Source organism: Homo sapiens, chromosome 3, assembly GCF_000001405.40.
Source record: "Homo sapiens chromosome 3, GRCh38.p14 Primary Assembly".
NCBI lineage: Eukaryota > Metazoa > Chordata > Mammalia > Primates > Hominidae > Homo > Homo sapiens.
The window spans coordinates 196,663,433-196,676,881 of record NC_000003.12 but is presented as its reverse complement, the minus strand read 5'-3'; the positions used below and the strand labels follow the sequence as shown (position 1 = coordinate 196,676,881).

Sequence of the window (13,449 nt, the reverse complement as noted above, 5' to 3'; positions counted from 1 at the left end):
TTCGTTAGAGTCAACCTAGGACTGTAACCTCAGTGCTAACGCCCAGTAGAAAGCCATCTCTGTTATTCTGGTGCTGCTCCTCCACCTTGAGTAACCTCAGAGTGGATGCAACAGCCAGACCGCAGGCTGACCTACCTTTCCACCTGCGGAAGCTCAGGAACTGACAGTGGAAAACTTAACAACAATAAAAAATAAAAACGGGGCCGGGCGCGGTGGCTCCCGCCTGTAATCCCAGCACTTTGGGAGGCCAAGGCAGGCAAATCACGAGGTCAGGAGATCGAGACCATCCTGGCTAACATGGCGAAACCCCGTCTCTACTAAAAACACAAAAAATTAGCCGGGCGTGGTGATGGGCGCCTGTAGTTCCAGCTACTTGGGAGGCTGAGGCAGGAGAATCACTTGGACCCGGGAGGCGGAGCTTGCAGTGAGCCGAGATCGCGCCACTGCACTCCAGCCTGGGCGACAGAGCAAGACTCCGTCTCAAAAAAAAAACAAAAAACGTTGATTTTTAAAAATCATGTATCTAGCAAAAGGCTTCTTGGGATTGGGAAAAACAGTATGTTCCACAGGAAGATAGAAATTGTGAACTGGCGATGACTTAAAGGATTGATACCATTCAACCAGCAACCCTCCCTCTCTTGATACAAGTTCCCAAAGTAGGCTATACTCCATCATCTCAAAAAAGGTGATGAGCCCTGTCATCTACTACCAAAAATTAAACAGGATCTAGAATTTAACATTGAATCCCAGTAACATGGCAACATAGTAGTAACGCAACATTAAAATGCCCTCTGAGAATGAACAAACCTCACAACATCAAAACCCAGGTACCGCTTAAGGCTTAACAAAGAAGCCGTGGCGGTCGCCATCTTGGATACCACGCGCCGGGAATACAGCTCCTCAAGTGACTGAGTGATGAAAACCGCAAACTCGGCCAGGTGGTGGCTCACGCCTGTCATCCCAGCACTTTGGGAGGCCGAGGTGGGCGGATCACCTGAGGTCAGGAGTTCAAGACGAGGCTGGTCAACATGGTGAAACCCCGTCTCTACTAAAAATACAAAAAATTAGCCGGGCGCGGTGGCGGGCGCCTGTAGTCCCGGCCACTCGGGAGGCTGAGGCAGGAGAATGGCGGGAACCCGGGAGGCGGAGCTTGCAGTGAGCCGAGATCGCGCCACTGGATTCCAGCCTGGTGACGGAAGAAGACTCCGTCTCAAAACAAGCAAACAAACAAGCAAAAAACCCCACAAACTACAAAAGTAAACAACAGTAAGTGAAACTTTTTTTTTTTTTTTTGAGACGGAGTCTTGCTCTGTCGCCCAGGCTGGAGTGCAGTGGTGCGATCTCGGCTCACTGCAAGCTCTGCCTCCCGGGTTCCCGCCATTCTCCTGCCTCAGCCTCCCGAGTGGCCGGGACTACAGGCGCGTGCCAACATGCCCGGCTAATTTTTTGTATTTTTAGTAGAGACGGGGTTTCACCGTGTTAGCCAGGATGGTCTCGATCTCCTGACCTCGTGATCCGCCCGCCTCGGCCTCCCAAAGTGCTGCGATTACAGGCGGGAGCCACCGCGCCCGGCCAGTAAGTACAACATTTTGCAAGGACTGTGGAGAGATTCACAAGCTAAGAAATCAACACTGGAAAACTAAGCCCCCCAAAAGAAGTAAAATTTGTTCATGAACTCACAAAAATACACCCAAGAAGGACACTTGAAAATGAAATGAAAAAGGACTGAGTGGGTACAAATTGGGAGAAAAAAAAGATTAAATAAGTCAGGAAGGGAAAAGACGATAAATTCAATGATGGGCTAATGGAATTTGATGGCAGTCACCAGAGGCTGAGCTGCTCAAGCAAGTATCAGCTCTTTTCTTCCTTTGAAGCCTGAGAAACAAATTGTGCCTATTTATAAGATTTTAAATGCCAAAAAGAGGAGACTACTAGAGTTAATAGCCATCGAAAGAAAAAAAAACTGAGTTGTTAAAGTATTTCACTGTTGGTCTAAATAAACTTTGAAAGTATGAACAAGGATGTCCTACCTGCTGGGTGCTGGAGCAGGGTTGACAGGGAGGAGAGTGGGAGACCCAAAATACCCATAGAAAGGTGAATAGCTGCAGAACTGCGCCCACCATGAGAGCCTCAGTAGAAGCACTAGCAATCAAAAGTAAATAAAGCACATTTTAAAAAAGACTTTGTACTTTCATACGCAGAATTATATTTCAGCCACTGAATTAATATATGCCACTTTCTTATTTGTGAACACATGCGTTATGCAAAGAGTTCTTTTATTTTTAAACGTAACTTTTAAAAAAAAGTATTTGGGGCCGAGTGCAGTGGCTCATGCCTGTAATCCCAGCACTTTGGGAGGCCGAGGTGGGCGGATCACCTGAGATCAGGAGTTCAAGACCAGCCTGACCAACGTGGTGAAACCCCATCTCTACTAAAAATACAAAATTAGCCGGGCAGGGTGGCGCATGCCTGTAATCCCAGCTCCTCAGGAGGCTGAGGCAGGAGAATCACTTGAACTCGGGAGGCGGAGGTTGCAATGAGCCGAGGTCATGCCATTGCACTCCAGCCAGGGAAACAAGATCGAAACTCCATCGCTCGTTCTCTATATATACATATATACATATACATATACATATATATATACAAAATATACAAAAAATTAGCAGGGCATGGTAGCGGATGCCTGTAGTCCCACCTACTTGGGAGGCTGAGGTGAGAGGATCGCTTGAGCACGGGAGTTTCAGGCTGCAGGGAGCCGAGCTCATGCCACTGCACTCTAGCCTGGGCGACAGGGTGAGACCCTGTCTCAAAACACACAAACAAAAACTAAAAATAGAGCTAGCATCTGATCCATCAATCCCACTGCTAGGTATATACCCAAAAGAAAGGAAATCTGTATATCGAAGAGATACCTGCCCTCCCATGTTTATTGCAGCACTATTCACAATAGCCAAGATTTGGAAGCAACCTAAGTATCCATCAAAAGATGAATGGATAAAGAAACTGGTCCATATAGACAATGGAGTACTATTCAGCCAAGAAAAAGAATGAGATCCTGTCATTTGCCACAGTATGGATGGAACTGGAGGTCATTGTGTTAAGTCAAATAAGCCAAGTACAAAAAGACAAACTTCACGTTTTCATTTATTTGTGGGAGCTAAAAATAGTAAAACAGTTGAATCCCCGGAGATATAGAGTAGAATGATGGTTTCCAGAGGCTGGAAAGGGTGATTGGTCAGAGAGAACTGGGATAGTTAATGGGTACAAAAATACAGTTACAAACAATGGAGCAGGCGCGGTGGCTCACACCTGCAATCCCAGCACTTTGGGAAGCCGAGGTGGGCTGATCACATGAGGTCAGGAATTTGAGACCAGCCTGACCAACATGGTGAAACCCCATTTCTACTAAAAATACAAAATTAGCCAGGCACGGTGGCGCATGCCTGTCATCCCAGCTACTCGGGAGGCTGAGGCAGGAGAATCGTTTGAACCTGGGAGGCAGTGGTTGCAGTGAGCCAAGATCGCGCCATTGCCTTCCAGCCTGAGCAACAGGAGAAAAACTCTGTCTCAAAAAAAAAAAAAAGAGAGAAAAAGAAACAATGGGCTGGGTGCAGGGGCTTATGCTACTAGCGCTGTGGGAAGCCAATTTGGGAGAATGATTGAGCCTAGAAGTTCAAGACCATCCTGGGCAACATAGTGAGACGCCATCTCTACAAAAAATTTAAAAAATGGCCGGGCTCCGTGGCTAACGCCTGTAATCCCAGCACTTTGGGAGGCCGAGGTGGGCAGATTGCCTGCGGTTGGGAGTTTAAGACCAGCCTGGCCAACATGGTGAAACCTTTTCTTTACTAAAAATACAAAAATGAGCCTGACATGGTGGCGGGCACCTGTAATCCCAGCTACTCGTGAGACTGAGGCAGGGGAATCGCTTGAACCCAGGAGGCGGAGGTTGCAGTGAGTCCGGATTGAGCCACTGCACTCCAGCCTGGGCGACAGAGTGAGACTTCGTCTTGAAAAAAATAAAAATAAATAAAAAATATTAGCCGGGCGTGCTGGTGCACGCCTGTAATCCCAGTACCCAGGAGGCTGAGGTGGGAGAATCATTTGAGCCGAGGAAGTTGAGAAGGCAGTGAGCCGAGATCCGGCCACTGTGCTTCAGCCTGGATGACAGAGCGAGACCCTGTCTCAGGGGAAAAAAAAGAATGAATGAATAAAATCTAGTATTTAATAGCAAAATAGAGTGACTACAGTCAACAGTAATTTACTGTATATTTTTAAATACCTAAAGGAGTATATTTGGATTGTTTGTAACACAAAGAAAAGATAAATGCTTGAGGTAATGGGTACCCCATTTACCCTGATGTGATTATTATACATTGTGTACCCGTATCAAAATATCTCATGTACCCCATAAATAAATACACTTTTCTGTACCCACAAAAGTTAAAAATAATAAATTAAATCAGGACAGTGGCCATAAAGAAATAAAAGAAGAAAAATTAGTTTCCTGTTAGGACAACTGTAGGAAGCGGAGCTGGGGAGGCAACACTGACTTGCATTCAAAAGGAAAGCATGACTTTTTTTTTTTTTTTTTTTTTTTTTTTTTGAGAAACGAGTCTCACTTTGTCGCCCAGGCTGGAGCGCAGTGGCGCGATCTCGGCTCACTGCAAGCTCCGCCTCCCGGGTTCACGCCATTCTCCTGCTTCAGCCTCCCGAGTAGCTGGGATTACAGGCATCCACCACCACGCCCGGCTAATTTTTTGTATTTTTTAGTAGGGACGGGGTTTCACCATGTTAGCCAGGATGGTCTCGATCTCCTGACCTCGTGATCCGCCCGTCTCAGCCTCCCAAAGTGCTGGGATTACAGGCGTGAGCCACTGCACCCGGCCGAAAGCATGTGACATTTTTGAAAAGTTAGAGAATTGAAGGGCATTTCCTTTTCTAATCGACTGTTACGATCAAAGTGGAATTTTTGTTGTTGTTATCGCTCTTTCAGAGGAAGGATGTTCTACAAAGTGAAACACAGGCAGTAGAGGAAGATGATATTGTTCAAGAAATCTAGATCAAGAAAGTCAGGGTTCGCTTGAAACTTTTAAGAGAAGTTTCTTGTATAATCTGAAAATTTCAGGAGAGGTGTCATTAGCAGAAGACGGTTTAAACACAGTCCTTCGCACAGATTTCTCAAAGACATTATCTAAGAAGGGGGTGTGGGGAAGGCAAATGGCCAAATAAAATTTGAATGGAGCTATATTGGCTTTTTGAAAATAGAAGAAAAAAGTTTGTCAGTGAAATGCCAGCCAAAGAGAGGCTATTTTCGTAAGTGGTAAGCTGTATGGTAATGTTAAAAATAAATGAATGTATGTATATTAATGATGGTGATATAAATAAATAAGTATATGAATACCGGGTGACCTGTCAGGACTGCCTGTGTACTCTACCCTGGGGGCCAGGATGTTTCTGCTACATCTCATGAAGTATCTCATAGGCAGCTAAGATGCTCAGAGCAGCAAAGCAATCAAACAAAATCTGATATTTAAATGATTCTTTCCAACACTACAAACCCTTGGGGTAGATTCTCACAGAATGGAAGGATTTTGAGGGCATTAAACAGGGGGTGGGTGTATTTCTTTGGCTGTATCTCATACACATATCTCCTTAGTCATCCTTTTAGGACTTTCAACTCTGTTGTTTATTCTGCTGTTTTTCTTGTCTTTTCTTTTTCTTTTTCTTTCTTTCTTTCTTTTTTTTTTTTTTTTTTTTGAGACAGAATCTTGCTCTGTCACTCAGGCTGGAGTGCAGTGGTGCGATCTCTGATCACTACAACCTCTGCCTCCCGAGTTCCAGCGATTATCCTGCCTCAGCCTCCCGAGTAGCTGGGACCACAGGTGTGCACCACCACACTCGGCTGATTTTTGTGTTTTTAGTAGAGATGGGGTTTCACCATGTTGGCCAGGCTGGTCTCAAACTCTTGACCTCAGGTGATCCTCCCACCTCAGCCTCCCAAAGTGCAAGGGTTACAGGCTTGAGCCACCGAGCCCGGCCAAAAATGCCCTTTTTATATAGAGAGATTATTTTCTGAATCCTGATTGATTTGAGAAACAACTCACATGTGAGGTGTGCCTCTTCCTCTGCATCTCCGGGGAAAAGAAGTGAGCTGAGTTTCCTCCTAAAGGCTGGCGTTCCGATCTAGCCAGGAGAGCTTCCCATTTTTTTCCCCTTTCCCCCTTTTTGCTTTATTTCTAACTTGCATTTTACAGCGTTGGTAAGACAACAGGAAGCACTGGGCTTCCTCTCCAGGGCATTCAGCTGAAGGGATTTGCTTACCACACTGAAAACAGTAGCCGGAAAAGAGAGCACACACCCATCTTCCAGAGCATGACCTCTCCCCCTCCTCCTTGCTCTCTCTGCCCTCCCCATGCCGGCCCCACTTCTCCCTCAATGACTGGGAGGCCCCACTGGGGTAGCAGTGTGCAGGCCCCCGCAGTGTCCATGCCAGCTTTATCCCCACTGAGATTTGATGTGGCTGTATGTGTACCTTCCCATGTTCTCCTAGACAAAGGTTTTGGAGGTCTGTGGGAAGACTGGTTTTGAACTGTGATCTGCCAATACCATCTCTCTTAAGATTATGAGATGATGCAAGAAACTTCTCTCAGTCTCAGCAAGATAAGATGCTGTTATGTAAAGTTACTAAGGGTTAATCAATCAAATCAATCAGGGTTAATCAGTCACTGAGACACAGACTCACTTAGTGTCAGAATTGCTCTGCATGTTCTTATATGTAAAATGGTTTGCTGTGTTGCCATTTATAAGCTAAACACCCTTGAAAGAAGCAAAGGGAGGGAATACTGGTTGCAAACTCAGTGTGTACAGGGTTAAGAGTTTTAAATATGATGCAAGTTTTTAATTTTTTTAATTTTTCTTGACATGGAGTCTAACTCTGTCAGCCAGGCTGGAGTGCAGTGGCAGGATCTCAGCTCACAACAACCTCTGCCTCTTGGGTTCAAGCAATTCTCCTGCCTCAGCCTCCCGAGTAGGTGGGATTACAGGTGTGCCCCACCACGCCCAGCTAATTTTTGTATTTTTAGTAGAGACGGGGTTTCACCATGTTGGCCAGGATGGTCTCGATCTCTTGACCTTGTGATCCGCCTGCCTCAGCCTCCTAGAATGCTGGGATTACAGGCGTGAGCCACCGTGCCTGGCTGCAATGCATTTCTTAAATGTATTTGATTGAAGTCTCCTGCCTCTCTAAAATGTATAAAACCAAGCCGTGCCCTGACCACCTTCGGCACACGTTCTCAGGACTTGTCATGGGCCATGGTCACTCGTATTTGGCTCAGAATAAATCTCTTCAAGTATTTTACAGAGTTCTATAAGTCTCTTCAAATATTTTATAGAGTTCTGGCCAGACATGGTGGCTCACACCTGTAATCCCCAGCACATTGGGAGGCCGAGGCAAGTGGATCACCTGAGGTCAGGAGTGCGAAACAAGCCTGGCCAACATGGTGAAACCCCATCTCTACTAAAAATACAAAAATTAGCCAGGCATGGTGGCTGGCATCTGTAATGCCAGCTACTCGGGAGACTGAGGCAGAGAATTGATCGAACACCAGAGGCAGAGGTTGCAGTGAGCCGAGATCGTGCAACTGCACTCCAGCCTGGGGGACAGAGCAAGACTCTGTCTCAAAAAAAAAAAAAAAAAAAAAAAAATATATATATATATATATATATATATATATATATTTTTTTTTTTTTTTTTTTTTTTTTAATTTTTTTCCAGAGTTTGACTGTCCTTCGACAGAACCAACTTTGGACAGAAGGTCCAAAAAGCTGCTGAGGACAGTCATTGCACCGATTGCACTGGGAGGAAGATGGGACCTTGAACAAAAGCCGTGTCCCGAATGAGTGAAAGTCACAGAGGCTCTTGGGACCAATTACAGAGGACCCTTTTTTTTTTTTTGGAGACAAGAGTCTCACTCTGTCACCCAGGCTGGGGTGCAATGGCGTGATCTCTCGGCTCACTGCAACCTCCGCCTCCCGAGTTCAAGCAATTCTCATGCCTCAGCCTTCCTAGTAGTTGGGACTACAGGAGCCCGCCACCACGCCTGGCTAATTTTTGTATTTTTAGTAGAGACGGGGGTTTCACCATGTTGCCTAGGCGGGTCTCGAACTCCTGACCGCAGGCAATCCACCTGCCTCAGCCTTAAAGAAGACCATTTTTAAGGAGCCCTGAGAAGTATAATTTGAGAGTGACTCCTTGGGGAGTCAAGGTCTGTGCCTTGTGATCCTCCTCTTCCAGTCTTTCCTGGGGTTTAGCTGGCTCTCATCCTTCCACCACCTACCATTCTTGGTAAAGCTGAGAACAAGAACCAACTGCTTGAGCTCTCAAGGTCCTGGAGTGAATGAATCAATGCTTCAACAACTACTAAGTCTCTGAATGAGTAGTCCATCTTGGTATTTAGCCTAATCTTTCTTTCTGCTTTTCTTCCTTCCTTCCTTCATTCCTTCCTTCCTTCATTTCTCTCTCTCTCTCTTTCTCTTTCTTTCCTTCTTTCTTTCTTTCTTTTATTTCTTTCTTTTTCTTTCTCTCTCTCTCTCTTTTTTTTTTTGACGCAGTCTTGCTCTGTCGCCCAGGCTGGAGTGCAGTGGCATGATCTCTGCTCACTGCAACCTCCGTCTCCCAGGTTCAAGCAATTATCCTGTCTCAGCTTCCCGAGTAGCTGGGACTACAGGGGCACGCCACCAAGCCTAGCTAATTTTCGTATTTTTAGTAGAGATGGGGTTTCACCATATTGGTCAGACTGGTCTCGAACTCCTGACCTCAGGTGATCCACCCACCTCGGCCTCCCAAAGTGCTGGGATTACAGGCATGAGCCACTGTGCCCAGTCTTTGCCTAGGCCCAGAGAAATGACATCTATAATTGGGTTCTACGTTTGAAAAATTTGGATCAGGTGATTATCTCAGAAACAGTTTCCTCCCTGGCAAGATGGTTTTCCTAATCAGTGCCCACACCCACCATGAACCATTAAAATCATGGTGAAAACCAGGGTCCCCCTACATCAGCCTTTGATCCTGACTGTTCAGCAGGAAGATGTTGCTTGGCTGAAGGAGGAAGGAATTGAGTAAGGTTCCTCTGTTGTTAATTACCTCCAAGCTATCACTGCATCATGCTGCTGCCTTTGAACAGTCTCAGTGGAAGTGAGTGATCTTCCATCACTATGTGCTTCGTCACCTGTACCCCATACGAACCTTCTCCACGTCTGCCATTTCATTAGCAAACGTGCTGTTCCGCAGCCACTAACCACTATCGGCTGACAGTCTGATAGACTTGATAAAGATGACAAGTTGTTGATGCTGTTTGCTCTTCTTTGCGTAATGTTAACATCTTCACCACAGTTCTTGGGCAAATCATCTTTTTTTTTTTTTTTTTTTTTTTTTTTGAGAGAGGGTCTCATTCTATTGCCCAGGCTGGAGTGCCATGGTGCGATCGTGGCTCCCTGCAGCTTCCACCTCCTGGGCTCAAGTGATCAGCCTCTCGAGTAGCTGAGCCTGCAGGCGCATGCTACCATGCCTGACTAATTTTTGTATTTTTTTGTAGAGATGGGGTCTTGCTCTGTTGCCCAGGCTGGTCTCAAAATCCTACCCTCAAGTGATCCTCCCACCATGGCCTCCCTAAGTGCTGAGATTACAGGCATGAGCCCCCACGCCCAGCCACCTTGAACAAATCTTAAGCGCTCTCAGCCTAGAGTTTTCTCCAAGATTAAGCGAAATTATCCACATAAAGCACTTAGCACAAAATAAGTGCTTGGTACTTGTTGATGAGGATGAAATAGAAGATGACTAGTTGGTGAGAAGTGTTTTTTTTTGTTTTTCGTTTTTGTTTTTTTGAGACACAGTTTCGCTCTTGTCACCCAGGCTGGAGTGCAGTGGCACGATCTTGGCTCAATGCAACCTCCGCCTCCCGGGTTCAAGAGATCCTCCTGCCTCAGCCCCCGCAGTAGCTGGGATTACAGGCATGTGCCACCACGCCGGGTAATTTTTTGTATTTTTAGTGGAGACGGGGTTTCGCCATGTTGGGCAGGCTGGTCTCAAACTCCTGACCTCAGGTGATCCGCCTGCTTCAGCCTTCCAGAGTGCTGGGATTATAGGCATGAGCCACTGCACCCGGCCGAGAAGGATTTTTTTAAATAACACTTTTTTTTTCCCCAGCTCCATCATCTGTTTGCTTTGGTCATTGCAACACCCACACTCTTTTAAAGAAGGTCTCCAAGGCTGGAAACTTCTCCCACTCTAATTTGGGTAAAATATGAATATGTTTGTAACACACTGAGGCGTGCCATCTTCCTCATGTCCACCTTCTTCCTCATGTCCACGCATGGACTCCATGGAAATCAGGGGACTCCATCTTCGGGAGATTTGCTTTCCTAGCGCTGGCCGCGCATCCTTAGCACTCTGTGGCTCCCTGACACAAGTGCTGGAATCTCTCGGGCTCAGGATTACTAAATGAGTAGCCAGCTGCGTCATGCAGGGACCCAGCAGGAACCAGATGGCACGTTCAAACAAGGACAAGTCAGGAGGATTTACAAAGGGACGATTCACAAAGCGGTGGAGAGGGGAGGGCAAACCGCAAAGGATAATGCAATTACACGAGCTGGTGAGGCAGAGCTGTTACCCATGCTAGGCCCAGAGAAGAGAGCCAGGGGAGTGAGTGGTTCCTAGATACCTAAGGCAGAGATTCGTGTGCAAAGAGCCGCCTTGAGACGAGTGTGAGTTTGGTTGATAGGTGCAGCCAGTTTGAGACAAATCTACAGGGAGGAGTCAGGAGAATAAATACTCTGACCTCACTTTCTTCCTCCCCTGTGATTTGCCAAACCTCCTTCTTAGCCAAATACCACTGGAAGCCAAAGGGCAAGGGAGCCCATTGAGGCCAGCCTCCTGGGGCAGGGTGGAAAAGAGTGGGAAGTAGATCTGGAGGGGCAAATGGAAGTTATCTGGCACATTAAATAAATAAAAAGTGATATGACCAGTGATACAAACCAAGGATTAGAGTTTGTCCAATTGCTTGCAACTGGGGTCGTTTAAAAAAAGAAATCAGCAGGCGCCGTGGCTCAGCCTGTCATCCCAGCACTGTGGGAGGCCGAGGCGGGCGGATCACAAGGTCAGGAGTTCGAGGCCGGCCTGGCCAACATGGTGAAACCCCATCTCTACTAAAAATACAAAAATTAGCTGGGCGTGGTGGCAGGCACCTGTCATCCCAGCTACTCAGGAGGCTGAGGCAGGAGAATCGCTTGAACCCGGGAGGCGGAGTTTGCAGTGAGCCGAGATTGCGCCATTGCACTCCAGCCTGGGTGACAGAGCAAGACTCCATCTCAAAAAAAGAAAGAACGGAAAAAAATCAATTGATCCCTAACTTAAATGCCTCCAGAAAAACCTTCAGCTTTTGTTTTATGACTGGATTTCCAAAATCTAAGTTACTGTTACTCATGTTCACAGACCAGTCTCTGACATGATTTATCTGTGATTCTGAATATCCTCCTGTGTGAATATTCTGGCATGTGGCAACCGGAAATGGCCCCCTACTGCCCACCCACTGAGGAAGAACCACGTGGTGCCCCACCTGGCTGAATGGGAGCTCTTAGGCAGACACCATTCTGGCCCCACCGAAGAACTCTGGTAACAGGCTTTGTGGGTCCTTCCCTCGCCAGTAGGTTCTCCTATGGGTCCAGGTCGGAGTGGGAGAAGCAGGGAAAGGGGACAGAATTTGCTGGGGGAACCATAGCTGAGCACTGAAGGCAGAAAGCACCTTCCCTATGTAACTTTCCGCATACTGAGAGAAACCTAGAAAATCATCCTTTTTTTTTTGAGACGGAATTTTGTCTTGTCGACCAGGCTGGACTACAGTGGCGCCATCTCTGCTCACTGCAACCTCCGCCTCCCAGGTTCAAGCGATTCTCCTGCCTCAGCCTCCCGAGTAGCTGGGACTACAGGCACACGCCACCACGCCCAGCTAATTTTTGTATTTTTAGTAGAGATGGGGTTTCACCATATTGGCCAGGCGGGTCTCGAACTCCTGACCTCAGGTGATCCACCCACCTCAGCTTCCCAAAGTGCTGGGATTATAGGCATGAGCCACCGCACCCGGCAGGAAATCACCTTTGGATCCTTGTGATGGAAAACACTAGGAAGGAAAGCCCACAGCCTTCTAAAGTCACAGTCACAGGCAGGGCTGGGGCTCAATTTGTCATCCTCCCGGGCTGGACCCCAAGAACAGAAAGAGTGGGTGGTCAGCTACATGGTGTGACTTGAGGGGCTTCAAAAGTCCTGCTGAACCCCAAACTATCTCCCCGACTGCCCTGAGTTTCTGTCTGAAGTTTCCATCATTTGAGTCATTTCTTTGTGCTAAGAATTTGCTTCCAGAAGTTGCCTGCTAAAATGTACACGCTGCCTGGGCGCGGTGGCTCACGCCTGTAATCCCAACACTTTGGGAGGCCACAGTGGGCGGATCACCCTGAGGCCAGGAGTTCAAGACCAGCCTGGCCAACATGGTGAAACCGTGTCTCTACTAAAAATACAAAAATTAGCTGGGTGTGGTGGCGGGCGCCTGTAGTCCCAGCTATTCAGGAGGCTGAGGCAGGAGAATCGCTTGAACCTGGGAGGCAGAGGTTGCAGTGAGCAGAGATCACGCCACTGCACTCCAGCCTGGGCAACAAAGCGAGACTCAGGCTAATAAATAAATAAATAAATAAATAAATAAATAAATAAATAAAATGTACATGCAGCCATAAAAGGATACGGGACTTACTTTTCATTCATTTTGTTTGCTCAACGTCTCACTTCCTTTCTTAGGTTTCAAGAACTCTGCCCCCTCATAAGAATTTGGAGGACACGGAGCCTATCTTCTGCCATAGACACCTCGCCAAGGGGTACAGCATTGCCGTGCCAGTCCTTCTTGTACTCAGGGCAGGGGCACATGACCACGGTCAGGAGCTGGCGATGCAGCAGAATTTGGGGAGCATTTATTTCAGCAGAAGGTGGCAGGGGTGGCTGCAGCCATGCTCCCACAGTTACTGCTCATGGCATGGTTTGGGCTGAGGTCAGGAGTTCGAGACCAGCTGGTCCCAATTGCTACACAGCATCTTCTGTTCCTGCCCATTTTCCAAGCCTGTTCCTCAGCCTTCCCGAGAGTCCAGAGCTTACTAATATTCTCTTACTAAATGCGTAAGCTACTTAAATCAGACAGAACCGTCTTCAGTTGCATGAGACTAAGAACACTGATGGATACCAGAGGTGACGCATTAACTCAAGAGAAGCCGTCAGTGCACCAGCCACAGATAGATGCATTTGTCTAATTAGCTAGTGTTCACATTAGGAAACAGCAGGACCCCAGAGAAGGGTTTTGTTGATGGGGAGAGGAAATCAGGAGAGTCTGGTCTGATGTTGCGTTGGCTGAT

The 13,449-nt window shown here is 47.1% G+C and overlaps 4 annotated features.

Moving 5' to 3' along the window:
* Positions 9,468–10,129: an enhancer, noted in NCBI's record as "H3K27ac-H3K4me1 hESC enhancer chr3:196393624-196394285 (GRCh37/hg19 assembly coordinates)". NCBI's record gives its function as "activates a minimal SCP1, AML or CMV promoter by ChIP-STARR-seq in naive H9 embryonic stem cells {active_cell/tissue: H9 hESC(naive)}" and the evidence as "EXISTENCE:reporter gene assay evidence [ECO:0000049][PMID:30033119]".
* Positions 10,130–10,792: an enhancer, noted in NCBI's record as "OCT4-NANOG-H3K27ac-H3K4me1 hESC enhancer chr3:196392961-196393623 (GRCh37/hg19 assembly coordinates)". NCBI's record gives its function as "activates a minimal SCP1, AML or CMV promoter by ChIP-STARR-seq in naive H9 embryonic stem cells {active_cell/tissue: H9 hESC(naive)}" and the evidence as "EXISTENCE:reporter gene assay evidence [ECO:0000049][PMID:30033119]".
* Positions 10,450–10,744: a silencer, noted in NCBI's record as "tiled region #363; K562 Repressive DNase unmatched - State 8:EnhW". NCBI's record gives its function as "represses a minimal TATA promoter and a strong SV40 promoter by Sharpr-MPRA in K562 cells {active_cell/tissue: K562}" and the evidence as "EXISTENCE:reporter gene assay evidence [ECO:0000049][PMID:27701403]".
* Positions 10,793–11,455: an enhancer, noted in NCBI's record as "OCT4-NANOG-H3K27ac-H3K4me1 hESC enhancer chr3:196392298-196392960 (GRCh37/hg19 assembly coordinates)". NCBI's record gives its function as "activates a minimal SCP1, AML or CMV promoter by ChIP-STARR-seq in naive H9 embryonic stem cells {active_cell/tissue: H9 hESC(naive)}" and the evidence as "EXISTENCE:reporter gene assay evidence [ECO:0000049][PMID:30033119]".